The following is a 21,134-nucleotide window of genomic DNA, read 5'->3' on the forward strand; positions in this document are numbered from 1 at the left end:
CTTTCTCATAAACATAACTCTTTAAATGCTGTCTAGTCATTTGATTATTCAAATATTGAGATACAATTCACATACCATAAAATTCACAGGGTTGTGCAACCATCCCAATGATGTAATTCCAGAACACATGTATCACTCTGAAAAGAAATCCTGTACCCATTAGCAATCACTCCACATTCCCTTCCCTCCAGCCCCTGGCAGCCACTAATTCATCTAGTTTCCATCTCTATAAATTTGCCTTATCTGGACATTTCATAAAAATGGAATCACCCGCCATATGTCCTTTTGTGTCTGGCTTCTTTCACTTAGCATAACGTTTTTCATCATTTGCACTAAAAATATCAGTGTTTCCTGGTGTTTCTCACAGCACCCTGACGCCCAGGCCACAATGCCTGTGAGATCACGCAGGTTGGAGCTGGCCGCTCTGAGCCATCAGGGCAGTGTGGCGTCCGGCAGCAGATGTCTGTGACTGGGCAGTGCAGGGACTCAGATGGGAGAGGTAGCCACAACATGGGCAGTCTGAGGTCAGCAGCAGAATCAGAATGGTCAGAAACAGATAGCACATGGGACGGCACTCAATATTCCTCCCCAAGGAACAGCTGCCTGAAAATATAATTATCTGGTGGTGAGAGAGGCGTGTCAAGGGCCACCAGCCCTGAGTCTAAAGGCTCTGAGTCTGCAGGGAGAGTACCATTTCTGAGATGATCTCAAAGCTCAACAGAGGGTGCAAGTCCCAAGGGCTTAGATGGTTCCATTCTAGGGGTGGAAAACAGGCAGTGGCCATCCCAACTGCTTTGCCACCCTTTCTGCCTAAGGCAAGCCTCCTTTCTGCAGGGCTTCAGTTCCTCGTAGGAAGTCCCAACAGGCTGAGCAGAGCCAAGCATGCTTTGGTCATGTACAGTTTGTGCACAGATAGATTAACTCATTAGTTAATCCCCTTTTTGTCTTTTTGCAATTTTAACTTGATTTATTCCACAGTAGATTTGAGGTAATTTACAAAAACAAAATAGGAACACAAATTTAAAATGAAAAATCAACCCAGGGGAAATGAAAGACCAGAAGGGATGGAAGAAGATGGGTAAGTCACTTAGAAGGCCCCACATGGTAGCTCTCTTGGGGCCATGGATTTAGTATACAGCAGTCAGAGGAAGAAGGGCAACACAGTTAGCTGCACAGTCTCCGTGTTCTGATGATACGCTGGCCAGTTCCTCAGAAAAAACAAAGCTCTTCTTGGCACTAAGATCTGAAGGAAATTTCTTCCATGCTGTTTTAAGTAGGGAGCCCTCCATGAAGTCATCCTCCCAATACTTCCGGGGCTCTGACATCCAGCTCTGAGCTAGGCAATTGGCTCTCCCAGCATCTCAGAAGGCCAGGTGGGCCCCACCCTTTAAGTCATTAGCTCCTGTTTGGGAAACGTTGTGCCATTTGGTGACCACCGTTACAAGTTTTCTCAGAAATAATGCCATCGTATTGTATTGCTATTTATGTAATAGTTTAATTTACTTTGACTTGAATTGGACTTGTTTAAAGGTTACTTCTTCCTAAGCAATAGGGACCACAGGAGAAACTGCCAACTAGTATTTTTTACTGAATTAAATAAATAATTTTACCAGTCAATTAAAGAACTTCCAGCATGTTCTCCCAAAATCAGCTCATCTTCTACTCATGGTTTATGTCCTGAACTTGGGAAATCGGCCCGTCCCTCACCTTGGGATGCACTGGGGCTGCCCCCCATCTCCTCCACCTGGAGAACCCTCAGCCTGGCTTCCCCATCACACCACGCAAGCTTAGAGCTAGAGGGCACTTAAGTGGGGTCTAAAGTCCACGTTTGACAGGTGAAGATGCTGGGCCCAAGGAAGAGAAGGGATTCGCGCAAGACCACAAGGCCAGTGACAGGACAGGCACCAAGACTGCCCAGAAACAGTGGCAGGGCCGGTGGACATTTAGATGTAACCAAAGGCTGAAACTCACCAAAAGAGTCTAACAGGAAAAGACTGTGGGCAGAGAGGCACAGGGCCTCACCCAACTCAGGGCAAGCCCGGTGGGGGCAGGGTAAACCCAGAAAACAATCATGGGATGGTAATCCCGAGTTCAGGATGACGGTCACTCCTGGGAGCACAGGAGAAAGGGACCCACATTGTGGAAGCGATGCAGGGCTTCCACTGTATTTGACAAGTCTTTTTTTTTTTTTTTTTTTTTTTTTTTTTTAGCAGGGTGGTGAGTTCACTAGTGTTATATTATCATGCATAATATTGCTGCTTGGATGAAATATTTTGAAAATATTTTATATTTGTTAAATATATTAATAACTCCAAGACTCCTTTAACAAGTGTGTTTTCTCTCTGCTAAGATGACACTCTCTACCGCATCTCAAGTGGTTTAACCAAAGGGGAGAAGAAATGACTGATTTCCACAAGAGACATGCCCCAGGTGGGGAGCTTCTGTCACCTCTCCCTCCACTCCCAAAGCCTGTGACATGTGGTGGGTGGATCTGAGCATCATTGTACCTGACCAAGGTGGAGTCCATTTCAGACAGGTCATGGTGTCATGGTTGGCATGGCTCATACAAACCCATGGGTCTAGGAGGAAACTTAGAGCACCCCAAGTGGAACCATGTGGGCTCCACTGATGAATGCCACAGCAGGGCAATGGGCAGTGCTGTAGAATTAAGCCCCCAGCCAACATCTTTGTTCCCCACCTGCACAAAGGACGTGTCTTGGCATGTATATTTTTGCAAACAGCAGACTATCCCGTTCAGTTAAAGGCAGGGTAGGATGTACTTTGAGATTTCTAAGAGGGACGCACAGAGTCTCAGAGTCTCCGGGTTGAAGGGACTGCCAAGGACACTGACCCAAGCTCCCATTTGAGACTCCAGCCTTCCTTAGAGGCTGCTCTCAGGAGGCCACTCACTGCCTGAGGCAATAGCAATTACTTTTTTTTTTTTTTTCAAACAGGGTATAGGAAGTGGGGAAGATGGGGAGCCTTTTTTTTTTTTTTTTGAGATGGAGTCTCACTATGTTGCCCAGGCTGGTCTCAAATTCCTGGCCTCAAATGATCCTCCCGCCTTAGCATCTTGAGTATCTCAGATTACAGGCTTGTGCTACTGCACCTGCTCAATTTTTGTTTTTCTAAAAATGGTATCATCCTATGTACATTCCTCAGCACTCGGCCTTCCTCATGGACAGTCTTTCTAGGCTACAGGCCAATAGGTTGTGAGCAGTTATCCTGTACCAGGCACAGTTATAAGCACCTCACATAATTAACTCAGTTACTGCTCCTAACAAGCTTAAAGGACAGGCACTATTGCAATCCCTACTTTACCAAAGAGGAGTGTGAATGGCCAGAGGGTCAAGCAACACAGTTTGTAAGTGGTGGGATCCGGATTTGAACCCTGGCTGTCTGTCTTCAGACCCTGTGCTCCTAACCACTCTACCGTACTGCCTTTCCAAACAGAGACAGGATCTGTCTCAATCTTGTTACAGCTGAATGATGGACCATGGTTTGGATGGAATACCTTTAAATTTACTGTTAAGTTTGTATATTTTTTGTAAGTTTTCCTACTAGAATTTTGCCATAAACATCCTTTATACACATATCTTTACAGACTGATGCATTCATTGTTCCATAGGCCGGATTTCCAGAAGTGGAAACATGGATCAATGTGTGTGTTTTTGGTTAAAATACCTATGGGGCCTATTGTTTGGGCCATCGTCCTAATAATGAGCCATGTCATTTTCACTCACTGGTTTTGATTCTGTCCCGAGGACCACACAGAACATCTCTGACCCTTTTTCTCCAGACAACCCCTGGGGTGGTTGAGGACAGCAAGTCTGTCTCTCAAGTATTCTGTTACCCAGTTTCTTCAAAAGTTCCTCTGACAAGGGCTGCATGCTCCTGAGGGCTGGTCCAGATACCTCTTAAAGTGCGGCACCGCCTGGGGTGATCTGGCTTATGCCCCTTGCTCCCCATTCAAAGACACACAGAGAGGGACATTGACAGTGCACAGGAGATATCAACAGTGTTTCCTGACATCCATGATGCACGGGAGAGAACCAAGTAGGTAGGATTCAGACTTCTCATCTTCACCTCTCCCAAATCACACACATGCCTTCCTGAGAAAGAGACCCTTTGTGAGATATTAAAGACCAGCCAAATTCTACTCCCACATCATAAGAAACTGGAGTTCACTCTTTAATTAGAGAAGATGCCAATGGCTTTGGAACTGGACAGGCTTCTAAGCATCTTTTAGTTCAGTGTCTTCTTTTACAAAAGAGCCCTGGAGGGCAATGACCGCACCAGGCTCACATGTCATTGGGTGTGTGGCAGCATTTCCCTAAGCTGAGACCAGGGTCACTGGTGGGTGCATTTCCCCAGCTCTCTCTGCCTGCTGGTTCCTAGGAACCATCTTACTAGAAAGGCGTAGTGTAAATATTTTGCTAAGCAGCCAAGAGAGGAAACTTACCCAGGCTGAGCTGCCCTGTGCTGGGTGCTGGCCATGGACACAATGCTCAATGAGGGCCATTATCTGGGAAGGGAGGGCTGTTTGTTCCGCTGCGGGATGGTGCCAGAGCCCGGAGCCACCAGGCTTGCCACTCTGGCTGCCACACAGAAGAGTCTCCTTGCGCTCAGCAGACTCTGCGGTTATGCAATGCCGGGCCAGGAGGTTAACTCTCCCCAGGCCAGGAGCCAAGCCTTGTTCCTTCCTGCCTAAGCATGTCCATCTGAAAATGCTGAAAATTGAGGGCCTCAGTGTTTGCAAAATGTGCTCGGGCCCTGAACCTGCTGGTTTATTCCAAAGGGCGTAGTGTTGAGGAGCTGGTGTGCCCATCCTTGTGGCTCCTGGCAGCCTCCTACCGAGGCCCAGTGCTCTGACAGCAGCGTCTGCCTGCCATCCTCGGGCACCACTCATAGGCCTTGCAACCCTTTGCCTGGGTGCCCCTGTCCCGTTCTTTCCCTTTCGGTGGTGTCTGGTCTAAGTCCTTTCTTAAGCCCGAGTTCTACTCACTTGTTCAAAGCCTTCCCTGACCACCCCAGGCCCCAGTGACCTGAGCTCAAGGATGAGTTTCCCAAGACAAAAGGGACCTTGGAAGTTATCTATCCACCTGGCCCATTTTCCAGATGAGGAAACTGAGGCTTGAAGAAGTTGACTAGTCTGAGAGAAGACTGAACAGATGTGTCAGCCTGGCTCCCCTCTCAGAACTCTTTCTCTTATACCTCACGTCCCATCTGTCAGCAAATCATGTTGGCTTGACCTCAAAATGGAGCTGGAATCAGACCCCTTCCCATGGCCCCCGCAGTTGCCACCCTGGTGTGTGACTCTATCACCTCCTGATCTGTCACATCACTGCCTCCTAGCTGGCCTCGGGCTGCTGCCCCCGCCCCCTCCAGGGCAGCCTCCACAGCCTCCTTCGGCAGGACAGCCCACTCCTCTGCTCAGGCCTCCCAGGGCTTCTGGATGTTGTGCCTGCCTCTCCCTTCCAGCCTCCTCTGCTCCTGTGCCCCCACCCCCACTCCTCCAGCCACACCAGCTTCCTTGCTGTTCCCAGCAGGCTGATCTTGCCTCCGCCTGGAATACTCTTTTCTGATACCCCCAGCACTTGCTCCTCGCCTCCCTCAGGTCTTTACTCTCCACCCGTCCTGACTGCCTGATTTCAAAACCTTGACAACCTGCCAGCCCCGTGCCCCCTATTCCTTTCCTGACTGCCACCTTGTCACATACTATGTATGTTACTTAAGAAGATAATATATTTACATTTATTTTACATACACTTATGTTTTTAAGATCTCACAAAATATACAGTCTATAGAGAGTGTGCATGTGTGTGTAGTGACGATATGTTTGTCTATTTCCCTACCAGAATGTAACTCCAAGAGGCAGGTGTTTTGTGCTTTGTCACCCAGAATGGTGCTTGGCCCCTTATGTCTAAGTAGGGCCGAAGGTAAGGATGACCTACCTCTTTGAGGATGGATGAGGATGGTGATGGTGGCTGGGGTGTCACCTGACTGGTATGGGTGTTAGGAGTGGGGGAAGGGATGAGTTTGGTGGCATATGTAGGCTCAGCAGAGGGAGAGCCAGGGCTCCAGGGAGGTCAGCTGGGAGGCTGTCCGAATGCTATATTTTTGGAGCCATATGGAATAAACACCCAGACACCTGGGCCTCAGTCCCCCAACCCCAACCAGCCCCGGTAGAGCAGCTCCAAAATAGGAAATTCGCAGAGGTAGCCCCAGAGAGGCTGCTCAGATTAGGCTGCAGTGAGCACCTAGGCATGGCTGGCCACTCCCTGCTTTTAGGCATCCTGAATTTGCACGTCTAGGAATCTCCATCTCCATGTTTCAAGCTCTCTAGTGGGTGACTCACAGGCTCTGCAGGGGTTTGGGGGCTGCAGCTGAGTTCCTTTGAATATCTGTTGAATGAATAAAAGAAATGGAAGGAAAGGGGGAAAGGTGCTAAGGCAGACACAGGAGAAGAGGACAAAGGCTTGGGAGCACTGAAACGACCCCAGGGAGGCATGCCAAACAGAGCCCGAACAGAGGCAAGACAGCAGGGCTTGTCCTGACAGGTGGCACAGGTGGGTCCAGTTTCCACTCGCTTTCCCACACCTGCAGCTACGCTGGCCAGGAGCACAAACCTCAAGCAAACAGAAATTTTTTCTCGTGATTTCAGTTTTAGTTTGATTGACATTTTTATTTACCCATGACATAGTTTCTTTTAGGATAGCTGGCTTTATTCTAAAGAGCAGCCCAAACTAAGTGGCCTAGGTGATTTGGCTGTTCAAATCTCCCTTTTCTGATCCTCCTGTCCTGCCCTACCTCTCCTCTCACCTGTCTGAGCACTTCTCTGACTCTTCCATCCAAGCTTTTTCTTCCTAGATGCCTGTACTCAGTCCTCAAGCTTTGGTCTCTAATCCCCTGCTTTTCTCTCTCTGCACTGCTCACCTTGACTTGGTAGCAGCTTCCACAGCTGCACACATCACCTGCCCCACCCAGCACGCCCCAATCCTGCATTTCCAGCAGCTCTCACATTCAATATGCTTAGTGCCCCACTCATCTTTTCACCCCTCTGTCTCTGGTAAACCTTCAGGCTTGCGACACTAGTGCTACCTCTAAACTCCACTCTCCTTTGTCCTCATAGCACCCATTCACCCAGTCACTCACCCTCCACTCCTACCCTTTCCTTCAAGCAAACAGAAACCCTGATTGGTTCAACAATTACTGATCAACCACTACTGTGCACCAGGCAGTGCTGGGTACCGGAGGCATTTGCCTTGGCCTGTTCTTCTTCCACCTGCGGCACCTCGAGGACCACCCGAGGCCCTGAGATTGGGAGAGGAAGCCTGTTCCATAACTGGTCAGCCCCACACCTGCAAGTAATTGACAGTGTGACCCTGGGCAAGTCACTTGCCACGTTTGAGCTTGGGTGTTCCCAATTGCCCTTTGGGAGGATTATTCATTCCCGCCTCACCTGTCCCCAGTCCAGCTGGGAAAGGCATCACCCGGCTTCCTACAGGTGACACCAGTCTGAATAATACTTGTGGTGCACCCATAGCCATGGTGCAGCCTCTTCCTCCCACAGACCACGGCCTTGACCCCCTTCAGCCTCCTGGCCCCCAGTATGGGACAGAGCCCTGGAATCTGCATTTTAAAGAAACTCAAGGTAATTCTGTTATGGGAGGGTATGTGGACACACATGGAGAAATTCTGGCTCACAGGATAAAGTCTAAGCTTCCTCACCACCCCCAACTCATTGATGAAAACTTCGCCCTGCTTTCCAGCATTGGCCCCCTCTGTCTCCCAAGGGAGGGCCTGCAGCCGTGGCCAGACTGCTCTGTCCACTCCCCACCCTGAGCTCAGCAATGAGCCTGCTCTTCTTCTTCTTTTGTTTTGTTTTGTTTTTCGAGACAGGGTCTTGCTGTGTCCCTCAGGCTGCAGTGCAGTGGTATAATCACAGCTCACTGCAGCCTCCGTCTCCTGGGCTCAAGCCATCCACCCGCTTCAGTCTCAATATTTAGGACTACAGGAGTATGACCACCACATCTGGCTAAATTTTTTATTTTTCTAGTTTTTGAGATGAGGTCTCACTACCTTGCCCATTCTAGTCTCAAACTCTCCGGCTCAGGTGATCCTCCTGCCTCAGCCTCCCAAGTAGCTGGGATTACAGGCCTAAGCCCCCAGGCCTGGTCAGCCCTGCTCTTCTCTTATGACTTCCCCAACTTGGAAAGACTTCCTGACCTCCCTATCTCTGCAAGTCTCTTTCCCACCCTGCAACATCCAACTCAAATGCCTTCACCTTCCTCTATCAAGCTCAGAATCTCCACTTGACATCAGTTAGGGCCAAACACACAGACCATCATCATTTCCTGCCTGGATTGCTGGCTGGCTTTTGACTGGCTCATATCCTAGCTTTCTAAGCTGACTGTGAGCTCCCTGAGGCCAACCATCCATCTTGCAGATCCTTGGGTTCAATAACAAATGCTTACTGAGCACCTGCAGAAACCTATACAGCAGCACCCTGCTGGGTGTACAGAAGAGGAAGGCCGAATCCCTGCCTAGAGGGGAGCCCCTCTCATGGAGAGACAGATGGAACTTGCATATATGACCAGGGTAGAAATAAAGACAGGGTACCACAGAATCCCAGAGTAAAGGTCCTAATGCCATGGGGAAGGGGCACTCAGGGGGCAGGGAAGGAAAACTCAGAAAGAGGGAGCAGCACACGCAAAGGATTAAAGTGTGACATGTTCTGCACAAGAGCAGGGGTGGGGGAGGAAGAAGGATGGAGATAACGGGAACAGGCTGAACTGGGAATGCTGAGCTAAGGGTCTGGATTCATCCTGTAGGTCAAGGGTTGGCAAATCCAGCCGGCTGCCTGTTTTCGTACATAAAATTTTACTGGAACACAACCACGCCCATTTTTTACATATTATCTGTGGTTGCTTCCAGGCTGCAATGACAAAGTCAAGAGAGACTATATGCCCGGCAAAGCTTCAAATACTATCTGGCCATTCAGAGCAAAAGAATGCTCATTCCTGCCATAGACGCTGGAAGCTATGGGTGGATTTTAAGCAGCAGATAGCAGGGTCAGATTTGTGTTTCACGTTTCTATCACTCTCGGATCATGCTGGGATGTGCTGGAGCAGGCAAGCCAGGGGAAAGGGAAGGTGGCTGGGAGGCTGGTACAGTTTTCCAGGTAGGGGATGGAGATCAACAACAACATTGCTGTTTTTTATTAAGAGATTCATTAAGAGTTGCTATGTGCCCACACTGGGCTGTGCCCTTTACACATATTCATTTAATCTGCAGAGTAACTGCTGGATATAGCTAGAGTTGTTATCTCCATCCTACTGATGAGGCACAGAGAAGTGAAGTCATTTGCCCAAGGTCACGCAGCCAGTATGAGACAGAGCCCGGATGCAAACCCAGTGGTCCAAACCTGAGCTGGGGCCCTCAGTGCCAAGCTCCAGGGCTTCAGTGTCAAGCATGTTTTTGGCAACAGATCCCTTCGAGCCTCCCTGGGAATACACAGAACACAAATCCTCTAAAGGAGAAAATCTACCCCAGCCGAGTCAGGCAGGAAGTGGGAGGCAGCAGTGTGGCTATTTTGGAGAAGCGACACGAGAAACCACGAAACTTCCTACCTGTCCCGTTTTGCTCCCATCTGTCCTCAGAAACAAGGCTGCCCCTCTCCAAGATAAAAAGGTGTTTCTCCCCACACAGTGGCTCTGCCACTGGTGGTGGGAGAGAGAGCACTAAGCTTAGCACACACTTGCTATTTTTAAAGGGCTATATAAACAAACAGGGCTATGTAAATAAGAAAAAAATGAGGTCATCCTTTTAAAACCTAAAAATGTCCCTTTTCTATGGGGTGAGCAGCACAACCTCAGAAAGCACAGGGGTTTTTCTATCCCCTTGAGGCTTCTCTAGCCCATGGCCTCCAAAAACCACCAGGCCTGGCTCTCTTCCTTGCACCCACTGAGTGAAGGGCAGGTGGCCTGGGAGTCAGGACTCCTGGGTTTCATTCCTGGGTCTGTGGGCTTTGCCTCAAATGCCTAAGGCCAATGTGCAATCCCAGCCACCACCATCCAGGGAACCTGACATCCAACCCCACGCCGGTCTCTCACAAACACGGCCCATGCTCCAGGCCCTCCTCCTCCTGTGCCAGCCCTGGTTTGGCAAGCTGATTCTCCTGGCCCCTCGGGTATCCTTTTTCCTCCCCACTGCCTCACACCTTGACCTGTTGAATGGCCACAGAGGCTCTCTGCATGCCGATCAGAGTGACGTGTATGCTCCCCACCCCCACTTCTCTGCACACATGTTTACCTTGCTCCACGCTCTTCTGCACCTTTTCTTCAAAGGCGCGGGCCAGAGGTCATTAAAGCAGCCCCAGGAGCTGAGTTTGCTCATCAACAACTGCTAGGAGACTTCCCAAGCCTCAGCAGAAGCTCACATGGCCTCCCTGGGTTGCGAAGAGTACTATTTCCACTACTGACTGCACTCTCCACAGCATCACCTCAACTTCTCCCCTCCCCATCTCTCCTCCTTCCTCCTCTGCCTCCAACTCTCAGCATCCGTGGCCCCTCCATTATCCTCCAGTACAAAAATGAGAACCACCAATATTTGCTGAAGGGGTAGTCTCCAAATTGTGTTCCATGAAAGTGTTTCAGAGGCTCTCCAAATGTTCCACGAGCATGTTATTCTAAAAGTACAGTTTGACTCCTATTCTAACAGAAAACGAGCACGTACACACATTCAAACATGCTCTATAGCACATGGGAACACACTGAATATAGCCAACAAGTGCTGCCGGTTTAATTTGGTTTGTGCAGACCTCAGATGAAGGTCTGGGTAGATCTTGACCTTCACCGTTGAAATGTATCTTCAGTTAGGAAGAGTGGAGCTCTTCACTGGGTATCTTTGTGTTGTCATTTTTTAAATTCAGGACTCTATATGCGTACACAAAACCATACAAGCAAGTACACTCTGAAGCTTTCAATGACAAGACAATGTATTATGTGGATTATCATGAAAATATCATAAATGATTGTGGGGCTTCCTGTCTGACTTATGTGTGTAATAGGAAGGAATTCAAGCAGTTGTTGGATATTGTCACTGATGCAAACCAGAATTCCCTTCTACTCCTCCCCAAATGCCCAGATAATGTTGAACTGAAGACCATTCTGTGGCTTTAAGGCAAGCTGTTAACAATCTGTCACCATTCACATCATGTTATGGATGTTGATTTAGAATTCCTTGGCCAGGCGCGGTGGCTCACGCCTGTAATCCCAGCACTTTGGGAGGCCGAGGTGGATGGATCACAAGGTCAGGAGTTTGAGACCAGCCTGGCTGACATGGTGAAACCCCATCTCTAATAAAAATACAAAAATTAGCTGGTGTGGTGGCATGCGCCTGTAAGCCCAGCTATTTGGGAGGCTGAGGCAGGAAAATAGCTTGAACCTGGGAGGCAGAGATTGCAGTGAGCCAAGATCATGCCATTGCACTCCAGCCTGGCTGACAGAGCGAGATTCCAACTCAAAAAAAAAAAAAAAAAAAAAAAAAAAAAAGAATTCCTTAATACTTTGCAGTCAAGCCAAACGAAACAAGAAAGAAAAAGGAATATTAGATATTGCAGCTGATAAAGCAAGCAATACAATGATGATCTAGGGCAGAGGTCAGCAAACTTCTTCTGTAAAGGGCCAAATAGTAAGAACTTTAGATTTTGTGAAACAGACAGTCTCAAGCAGCCATAGATAATGCATTTAAAAAACGGTGTGGCTATGTTCCAATAAAACTTTACCGAATCAGGCAGCAGCCTGGATTAGGCCCACAGGCAAGTTTGCCAATTCCTGATCTAGAACCTCAGATTTCAATGTGTTTGTGCATCAAAACAGAGGTGTCGCTAATAACATAATAAATATAACGTTCATAATAAATAATAAATAAATGTCAAAAACTAGACAGCCAGGTGTGGTGGTCCATGCCTGTACTCCTAGCTACTCAGGAAGCTGAGATAGGAGGATCCCTTGAGCCCAGGAGTTTGAGGCTGCAGTGAGCTATGATCACACCACTATACTCTAGCCTGGGCAACAGAGCAAGACAGTATATATCAAAAATAAATAAATAAAGTCTTTTGCATCTGACTTAAATTAGACTAAGTCTAAATGGCAATAATTTGGAGATAAGAAATAAGAATAAAAATGAGAATTTTTAAACAATGTTAAAAATTTGAACTTAAAAAATAATGTATTCATAAACCATCATTTTAACCTGTTTTATATATTGACATTCCATGCAAGATTTGGCTTTTAAAAATAGCTTCTAAGACTATAAAAGTTTGAAAACTGCTCAAGTTTCTCATTGCTGAGAAATTGCTTCCATATCCATTTTCAAATGAGATCTGTCCTCTAGCTTCTCATTCAGAAAGCACATTTATTCTGGAGAAAGCCCCACTTCAGGCCCCTTCTGAAGAGTGGCTGTGACTCCATGTTTCCCTGCCCTCAGTAATTCCACACATAGCTGTGCCCAAGCCTCTGATGGTGCTGATGGGCCACCCCGCCCTCCCCAGCACCGGGGCGTTTGCAGCACTGCACACCTCTGTCTTGTTCGGATGCCATATATCCCAGCTCCTCCCTGGTGGCTGGGAGGGCCGTGCCAGCAGTGGCCGTGATCACCTGGACTCCAGCAGCACCAAGTCAGCACCTCATTAATCACAGGCACTTTCTTCCCCAGGGAGAACACAGGCAGAGGCAGGAGCCAGGTTTCTCGCTGGAACTGACAGCTCATTTCCCTCTGGGCAAGTCCCATACTCTACAGATTCTTCCAAGCAGCTGGCTGAGCCCACACGGACAAACAAAGAGTCTGGGCACGAAGCGGGGGGAGGGGAGGGAAATGCCAAGTCTGCAGAGGACCCCCCATCTGTACTCCCTGGACAGTTCCCCCATGTATCTGGCTTGCATCTCTCAGAGGGCTCTGCTTCTGGACTAGTTCAAGTATCTGTTGTACACCTCATGGAATGAACCCAGATCCTGTCCTGAGACTGCTCATGAGACCCCTAAATGGCTGTGATAGGCACAGAAGGAAACAAGTGCTAAGTTGAGGTACCAGGAAGTGCCCCAGGATGCCGAGCCAGGGGCATGCTGGGGCATTACAGCATGATCGATTCCTATGAACATGTGGACATTCCTGGGGAAGGGGTCATCCTTGGAGCTGTCATTGCTCTTCTTCAGGAAGCATCTTGGTGGAGAAAAAAGTGCTGGGTCTTTTGTAACCAGAGGCTCTGCCCCTTACCATCTGTGTAGCTGTCTTTAAACTACTGAACCTCTCTGTGCTCAGTTTCCTTATGTGCACAACAGGGGCAACAGGACCAGACTCACTGAGGTTTGGGAAGGACTCGAACCTGTCTGTAAAGTACCAACCATGTGGGCAGCAGCATCGGTCCCCGTGCTTCAGCCTGACCTCAGGGACACAGCACTGGGGCCAGAGGGCAGGGCATGCAGATGGCACAGGGCTGCAACTGGGAGAGCAGGGTGGTGGCCCAACTGCCCACACACGCCAGAAGGGTGACTCACGTTTGGGAGGTCCTTGTTAACGTGGCTGGCAACATTCTAGGGGCCTTCCCCAGCAACCCTGCGAGGCAGGTATCACTACCAGCCTCATTTTGCAAGTGAGAAGGATGAGGCAGAGTTGGAGCAATTTGCCTCTTAAACCAGTAAGTGCCTCACACAACCACTAAGAGTCGGGGCTGGGATTTGAACTCAGGGTGGGTCTACACTGTTAAGTACCACAACAAACATCCCCTCTTAAAATGAGGCTCCAATGCCCAGTTCTTCCTTGGAATCCAGGGAACGATTCCTTTACCTCCTCAGGAGAACCCTGGTCTAGGCCTAGGGCTGGTAGGCCCAAGCTGTCATACTGTGGGCAGAGACACAGGCTCTAGCCACCCCGAAGTCCAGGCAGCAACAGCGATGCCATCTCTGAGGGCTGCCTGTGGCCCCATCCCCTTCTCTATACAGTGAGGAAACTTCAGCTTTCAGAGAAGCGAAAGAGTCACTGCTCCTGGCATGCCAGGCTGGGAAATGTTGCCTTGGAAATCTCAGCTGGGCCCACAGACCCAAACACAGGCCCCCAGAAGGAGGCCCTGGAGTCCCCAAGCCTTGGCTGCATCAGAATCAATGTAGATTCCTGGGTCCCCAACCCCCAAGAGTCTGATGCAGAGGGCACAGGTAGGCCAGAGAACTCCCTCCCTCCGTCCATCCCTCCCTCCCTCCCTTCCTTCCTTCCTTTGTCATACCAGGCACCCTCTTTCTAATCCCCAGCTCTCTGGGTGATTCTGGCTCTCCACACCAGAGAAAACATCCAAGGACTTGTTCTTGACCCAACAAGCTTCTAACACTGCACACCTAACCTGTACTGAAGCCTGAACATCTAGCCAGAAACCACAGCACATACCTGAAGATCTAAATGCATATATAAACATAAGCTGATACCAGGCCTCTCCCCAGGCTCATTTGATCACTATTTCGGGAGCTGGGGCCCTGCTATTGAAATTGCTGAAATTCCAAGAATCATTGCCCCAACCCTGACATCTTTTCAATTCTTCACAACTTGGGGGCAGGTGGGGTGAGAAAGGGGACTGAAGACCTGCTGCTATGTCTCTAACTCCCGTGGTGCTCCTCTGACTAGGCATTGGGTGGGCAGTGGTGGTCTTCAGCAAGAACCATTATGTAGGAGAAGAGGGTAGACCTCTGGCTATCAGGAGCACACAGTTGGACTGGCTTGTGGAGGCTGTGGCCCCTGGAGAGGGGGCTGTGGCCCTTTGAGAGGAGCTGTTGTGTCCTTTGCCAGGACAGAATGGAAACTGAGGTACTGGGAGGGGGCGGACTGCATTTCATGGGAGACAGCATGGGAAGCAGTAGCCAGTTGCTGGCACTCAAGGTCTCTACTCCTGACCAAGGAAGGTTGAGGACTTTCACAACAACTTTCACAGAGGCACCAGAAAGGCAACGATAACACTAATAATAACAATAATACATTTTTCAGAGGAAGAACTAAGCAAGCTCATGCAAGACAGACCAACATGGCGCCTGGCAAGCATATTCAGCAACAGCCCCCATTTCCTACCTGTGCTGAAGGCACCACTTCCGATGACCAAAACTGAAACGCTGTTCTCTCTGAAAGCCAGCATTCATGTCCACTCCTACGGCAGCCACCCTCCACCTAGGCGCCGCTCTTCCCACCAGAGGGGCGGGCTTGCTTGGCCAGGACCCCGCGAGGCTCCTCCATGAACTAGGTTGAGGCTGCTGGGTTTGTGCCTCGAATCCTGCAGGAGATGATTGAGAAACATGGTCAAAGAACTTTCTTGGTCAACTTTTTTAGACACAGAACAATCCCTGCCTGGTCCCTGGAGGACACACCCCCCAACTACTCCCAAGCAGCTTTACTTGGTACAGGGCCTGATCCCCACATCCCCCTACTTTGCATCCAACACTTAACTTCTCTGAGCCTCTATTTCTTCACTAGTGTGGTAGGCAGAATTCTAAGATGGCCCTCAAGATTTCCGGTTCCCCTGGTGCACAGACCCTGCAAAGCCCCCAGGACTGTGAATAGGATGGATGGTTGGGTTATGTTACAGGGCACAACTGACCTTAAGAGAGGGGGATTATCAAGACCTGGCCTGGTATGAAAGCCCTTTAAAAACAGAATTTGCAGGAAATGCCATTCTGGTCACCAGCCTTGGGAAAAGTATTTATGGCTAAGTGCTCAAAAGCAATTGCAACAAAAACAAAAATTGGCAAGTAGGCCTAATTAAACTAAAGAGCGTCTGCACAGCAAAAGAAACTATCAATAGAGTAAATAGACAACCTACAGAATGGGAGAAAATGTCTACAAACTGTGCATCCAACGAAGATCTAATATTCAGAATCTATAAGGAACTTAAACAATTCAACAAGCAAAAACCAAATAATCCCATTAAAAAGTAGGCAAAGGACACGAATAGACACTTCTCAAAACAAGACATACAAGTGGCCACCAAACATGAAAAAAATGCTCAACGTCACTAATCATCAGAGAAATGCAAATCAAAACCACAATGAAATGCCATCTCACACCAGTCAGAATGTCTATTACTAAAAAGGCAAAAAAACAACAGATGCTGGCGAGACCGTGGAGAGAAGGGAATGCTTATACGCGGTTGGCAGGAATGTAAGGTAGCTCAGCCACTGTGGAAAGCAGTTTGGAAATTTCTCAAAGAACTTCAAACAGAACGACCATTCGACCCAGAAATTCCATTACTGAGTATATAACCAAAGGAAAATAAGTTATTCTGCCAAAAAGACACACGCATTTGTATGTTCACTCCAGCACTATTCACAATAGCAAAGACATGGAATCAACCTACATGCCCATGAGTGGTGGATGAGGTAAAGAAAATGTGATGCATATACACCATGGAATATTATGTAGTCATAAAAAAGAACAAAATCATGTCCTTGACAGCATCATGGATGCACCTGGAGGCCATTATCCTAAGAGAATTAACACAGGCACAGAAAATCAAATGCCATGTGTTTTCACCTATAAGCAGGAGCTAAACATTGGGTACACATGGACATAAAGATGGGAACGACAGACACTAGTAACTACTGGGTGGGGGAGAGAGAGGGAGGGACAAGGGCTGAAAAACTACCTAGTGCGTACTATGCTCACTACCTGGGTGACAGGATCATTCTACTCCAAACCTCAGCATCACATAATATACCCAAACCTGCACATGTACCCCAAATCTAATAGAAAAGTTGAAATTATTTTTAAAAAGCAGAGTTTTCTCTGGCTAATCACAGGAGAGGAAGTCAGAGAGATTAGGGTCTGGAGAAAGCTTCATCATACCCTCACCGCCTTGAAGATGGAGGGTTGTATGGAAAGGATTGGCCCGCAGCTTCCAGGAGCTGACAGCAACCCCGGCTGATGACCAGCAAAAAACAGGACCTCAGTCCTACCATTGTAGGGAACTGAGTCTTGTCAACACCTTGAATGAGCTTGGAAAGCAGAATGTTCCCCAGAGCTTCCAGATGAGAACCCAGCCCACCAACACCTTGATTCAGCCCTGAGCAGAGAATCCAGCCACTCTGTACCAGACTTCTGCCCTACAGACCCGTGAGCTAACAAATGGGTGTTATTCTAAGTCACTAAATTGGAGGAGATTTGTTATGCAGCAAGAGAAAACTAATACAGCCTGGAAAACTGACTCATATTCAGGCATGGGTGGCAATGAAATACAGTAATAGACATAAAAGCATATTGTATTCCCCAAATCACAAAATAAAACAGGCCAAGAGAGGCCTGTTTCAGGGCAGGAGCTCAACAGTGATTCCTGAATGAATACACAAATGAGTATTGGTTTTTAATAACTGACTTGCCAGGCTGTTGTAAGGATCAAATAAGGAAATATAGAGGAAGATGCTTTGTAAACTAGAAAGCCGAAGTTGTTTCAGTCAGTGGTGGCGTGGCGTGTCATATCCACGCCGTGCTCTTTGGAGGATGCTCTGGTTTGCCCGCTGCAGGCAGTGTCGTGGGATGGATGAGAATGTGGCTTCCAGGGCCAGGTATACCTGGTTCAAATCTAGCCCTTCCACTTCTGACGTCTGCAACTTGAGAAAGTTGCATTGCCTTGCTGTGCCTGGCAAGTGGGGCTAAGAATGGTGAGTGCCTTCCAGGGCCCGTACTTTAATGAGTCCGTACATGGAAAAAGGTTGGAACAATGCCTGGCACGGCCCACGTAACTGCTCTGAATATTATCTCAGAGTGGAACCCAATAATCTGGGTCTGGAGTAACCCGCACACAGGCCTGGGGCACTGTTACCTTTCTCCTCTTGGGCACCCTGCTTTTTATTCACACAGCCTCAGAATCACGTTTGGCAACCATATCGCACTGCTGATTCCTACAGAGCATACAGGTCACCGATGCCCCCCTGCTGTCCCCTTCCCAATGTACCTGCTGCTATGAAACCCAGCCAGCCCCCTCCTACCCCCAGGGCAGCATCGCAGCACCACACAGTGGAGAGGCTTGCTCTGTGGCTCTATCAATCAGTTCCTGATTCTGCCGTCCGAACCAGCCCAATTTCTCACTACTCTGTGGGTTTCTATCCTCCCTGATCTGACCTCATGCCCTCCAATAGATTGCAGTTATTAATCAAAATGGCCGTGCTCTCTTCCTCCCAGTGTAGAAACACTCACTTCTCAGAACACGCTATTCTACAAACACAATCTACAGTTTCCTACCTCTGAGCCTTGGCTCAGGCAGCCTCTTCTGCATGGGATGCTACTCACCTCCCTCTGCAATCGTGCCCACCTTGCTGAATCCTGCCCATCTTCCCTCAGGAGGTTCAGCTAGCTCCCATAAAACTGGACCTAAGTTCTGCCTCTCCAGAATACCCCAAGCACATTTGCTGTGCTCCTCCTAAGGTAAATAACAGCATCCACTGTGCTCAGCCACGGCTTAAAGCCCTTCTAGATTGCATACAACTCAGGCAGGGTCATTCTGACTCACTCCCTCACCCCGAGTATGGCCTGTCACACACAGTCAGTGTGGAACAATTCTCTTTAGCGCCCAAGTTGGTTGTTTATTCATTTAACAGATGTCCACTCAGTGCCTATTTTGGGTAGAGCCGGGTTGTAGGTGCCAGCGTTAATAGATGGCAAAGATTTAATCTCTATCTTCAAGGGGAGCACGGAGTAGGGGTAGTCAATTTTGATGGTGTCTGAATGTGTAAGAGAGAGAAAAAAGAAAGAGGATATTTAAAACAAAGGGAGTCATGTAAGAAAAGACAGATCTCTTGACCTCGTGATCCACCTGTCAAGGCCTCCCAAAGTGCTGGGATTACAGGCATGAGCCACCACGCCTGGCGGATCACGGGTTCAAGAGATCGAGACCATCCTGGCCAACATGGTGAAACCCTGTCTCTACTGAAAATACAAAAATTAGCCAGGCGTGGTGGCACATGCCTGCAGTCTCAGGTACTTGGGAGGGTAAGGCAGGAGAATTGCTTGAACCCAAGAGACAGAGGTTGCAGTGAGCCAAGATTGTGCCACTGCACTCCAGCCTGGGTGACACAGCAAGACTCCAACTCAAAGAAAAAAAAAAGAATAAAAAAAAGATAAAAAGAAAGGACAGAGGACCCCCAAATGGCCAGAATGTTCAAGAAAATTGCATGGTGTCCACATGGCTGGAGGTGAGGGGCAGCGACAGTGGGAGGTGCTGTGTAGGGGCCGGGACATGACGGTTTGACAGATGAAGTGGCCTGGATGTGGTGGTGCTGTGAAGTGAGGTCATTTTCATCAGTGAGGTCCTGCAGCCAGGGTGAGGGGTGTGGCTTGAGGAGAAAGGATCAGGTGGAAGGAGAGAGACTTCTTCTGGCTGCGGTCGTGAGGCTGGTGTCACTGACTGTCCCCAGTCTCCCCCTCCGTGGCAGGTCAGAGGGCTGCCCACCACACCCGTGTCCAGGTCACCAGAAAAGGTCACACACACCTGAGGGCCTAGATGGCAAACCGAGCCCATTTATCTCCCTCTTCTCCCCCCCGCAACACCCCTCAAATAAAAGGAGAAATGTGCAAATAAGAACAGATCTGCAGTAGCATCAGCTGGCCAGAAAGTCCGAGGGAAAACAGACGAGAGGGAGTGACAGGAAATCTAATCAGAGCGAAGCTAGCCTCACCCAGCCGGGCAGTGAGGGCCCACCTGCCAGGCACCCCAGGACTTGCTCAGAGCTCCTCCATGGCAGGGCGGGCTGGAGTGGGGTCCTGAAATCCCCCCCAAAAAGAGTGGATCCTCTCAGTTTCCAAAATGACCAAAGTGAGAGTTGGGCAGGGAGGTACTGGGAGCAGAAAGTACCTCCCCACACACCTTTCTGCCTTCAACTGCATGACTTTATTATCCCAGGAGCCTCTCTCCCTGGCAAATGGCTTCACTGTTCATCACAGAAACCTCCTGAAGGACCCATCTACTCTTCAATCAACAGCTGGTGCCCTACGATTCTCTGAATCCCTTGCCTGGCCTCAAAATCCCTCACCTCATGGCTTCCACCAGTCCTGGACTACTGTGTTCCTTACACAACCCTAACCAAGCCCCCACATTGACACACCCACCTTAAAGAGAACTGCTAGGCTTCAGAAAACCCAACCTTGCCTCCTTCCTCCCAGACAGGCCAAAGCCCTCTGGAATCAGCACCCTCCCTTCGGCAAGTGAGTAATAAACTCAGCTTTGCCTTACCAACAAGTTTGTAGATGATATCTGGGGAGCTGGCATTTGACAGTCTCTACAAAAATGCTTGGAATCAAATTGACATTCAATTTGGTATCTGCATCATTTACAACAGGGCAGACCTCCGAGCTTGGAGGAAAAAGGGTTAAAACCCTTAGATCCGTTACTCAGCCAAGTCTCAAAGCCAGAGAGAAGTATAAAATAGTGTGACACCCACCACCCACGCATCTTTTCTTAAAAAAAAAAAAAATTACTCGAGGAATCACTCAAAGGAAATAAGAATTGTACCAGAATAAGTAATTCAAAAAAGGACAATATAGGATATCCAAGAAACAGGGAGAAATAATAAAAGCAGAAAAAGGTGAAGTGAAGTCTAAACAAATGTTGATAATCATGATCCTATCTTGTTGGGAATTAGATACTATTTAATTCTTGACATCAATAGAGAAATCTGTGTAAAAACTAACCATTTCTAGAAGAAAAGCAAGATGCAAACCTTTTAAACCACTGTGTGGGGAGAGGGGAAGGGAGAAACAAAGAAAACTCTATTAATTTAGCCAAGAGTGGGAAAAGAAAAATTAAACAGGAAAGAAAAAGTGTAATAAACAAAAGACATAAAATAAGATGACAAAAGACACAATAATATGAATAAATTAAATTACTTTAAGTTAAGAGACCAGGCTGGATAAAAGGAAAAAAAAATCCAGCTATATGCTGTTTGGAAATAACACACTTAAAACAAACTGACAAAAAAGATGGAAATCAAATAAATGGAAAAAAGCAAATGGTAACGAAAATAATGCGAGAAAGCCAATATTAATATCAGACAAAATGCAAAAATGTTAATTAAATACACTAAACTGGGGCCTTTTATATTGCCGAAGAG

General features: G+C 48.2%; 2 protein-coding genes across 3 annotated transcripts in view, besides 2 other annotated features; both read right to left on the reverse strand.

Annotated features, from left to right (window-relative positions):
- The window catches only part of LOC128125817 (uncharacterized), a 43,511-nt gene extending 28,332 nt beyond the window's left edge, over positions 1 to 15,179 (reverse strand). Inside the window, exon 1 of the mRNA NM_001415000.1 lies at positions 15,112 to 15,179. Within this exon, the coding sequence (NP_001401929.1) occupies positions 15,112 to 15,179 (68 nt within the window). The remainder of the gene's footprint in view (positions 1 to 15,111) is intronic.
- Positions 1 to 21,134, reverse strand: part of HIVEP3 (HIVEP zinc finger 3) — a 529,570-nt gene that overhangs the window by 107,273 nt on the left and 401,163 nt on the right. For both annotated transcript variants that reach the window (NM_001127714.3, NM_024503.5), the window contains one exon: positions 15,112 to 15,310. The gene's annotated coding sequence lies outside the window, so the exon portion shown is untranslated. The remainder of the gene's footprint in view (positions 1 to 15,111; positions 15,311 to 21,134) is intronic.
- Positions 9,489 to 9,578: an enhancer, noted in NCBI's record as "active region_868". NCBI's record gives its function as "activates an Ori minimal core promoter by ATAC-STARR-seq in GM12878 lymphoblastoid cells {active_cell/tissue: GM12878}" and the evidence as "EXISTENCE:reporter gene assay evidence [ECO:0000049][PMID:35858748]".
- Positions 9,739 to 9,908: an enhancer, noted in NCBI's record as "active region_869". NCBI's record gives its function as "activates an Ori minimal core promoter by ATAC-STARR-seq in GM12878 lymphoblastoid cells {active_cell/tissue: GM12878}" and the evidence as "EXISTENCE:reporter gene assay evidence [ECO:0000049][PMID:35858748]".

The sequence above is a fragment of the Homo sapiens genome, chromosome 1 (assembly GCF_000001405.40).
Source record: "Homo sapiens chromosome 1, GRCh38.p14 Primary Assembly".
Lineage (NCBI taxonomy): Eukaryota > Metazoa > Chordata > Mammalia > Primates > Hominidae > Homo > Homo sapiens.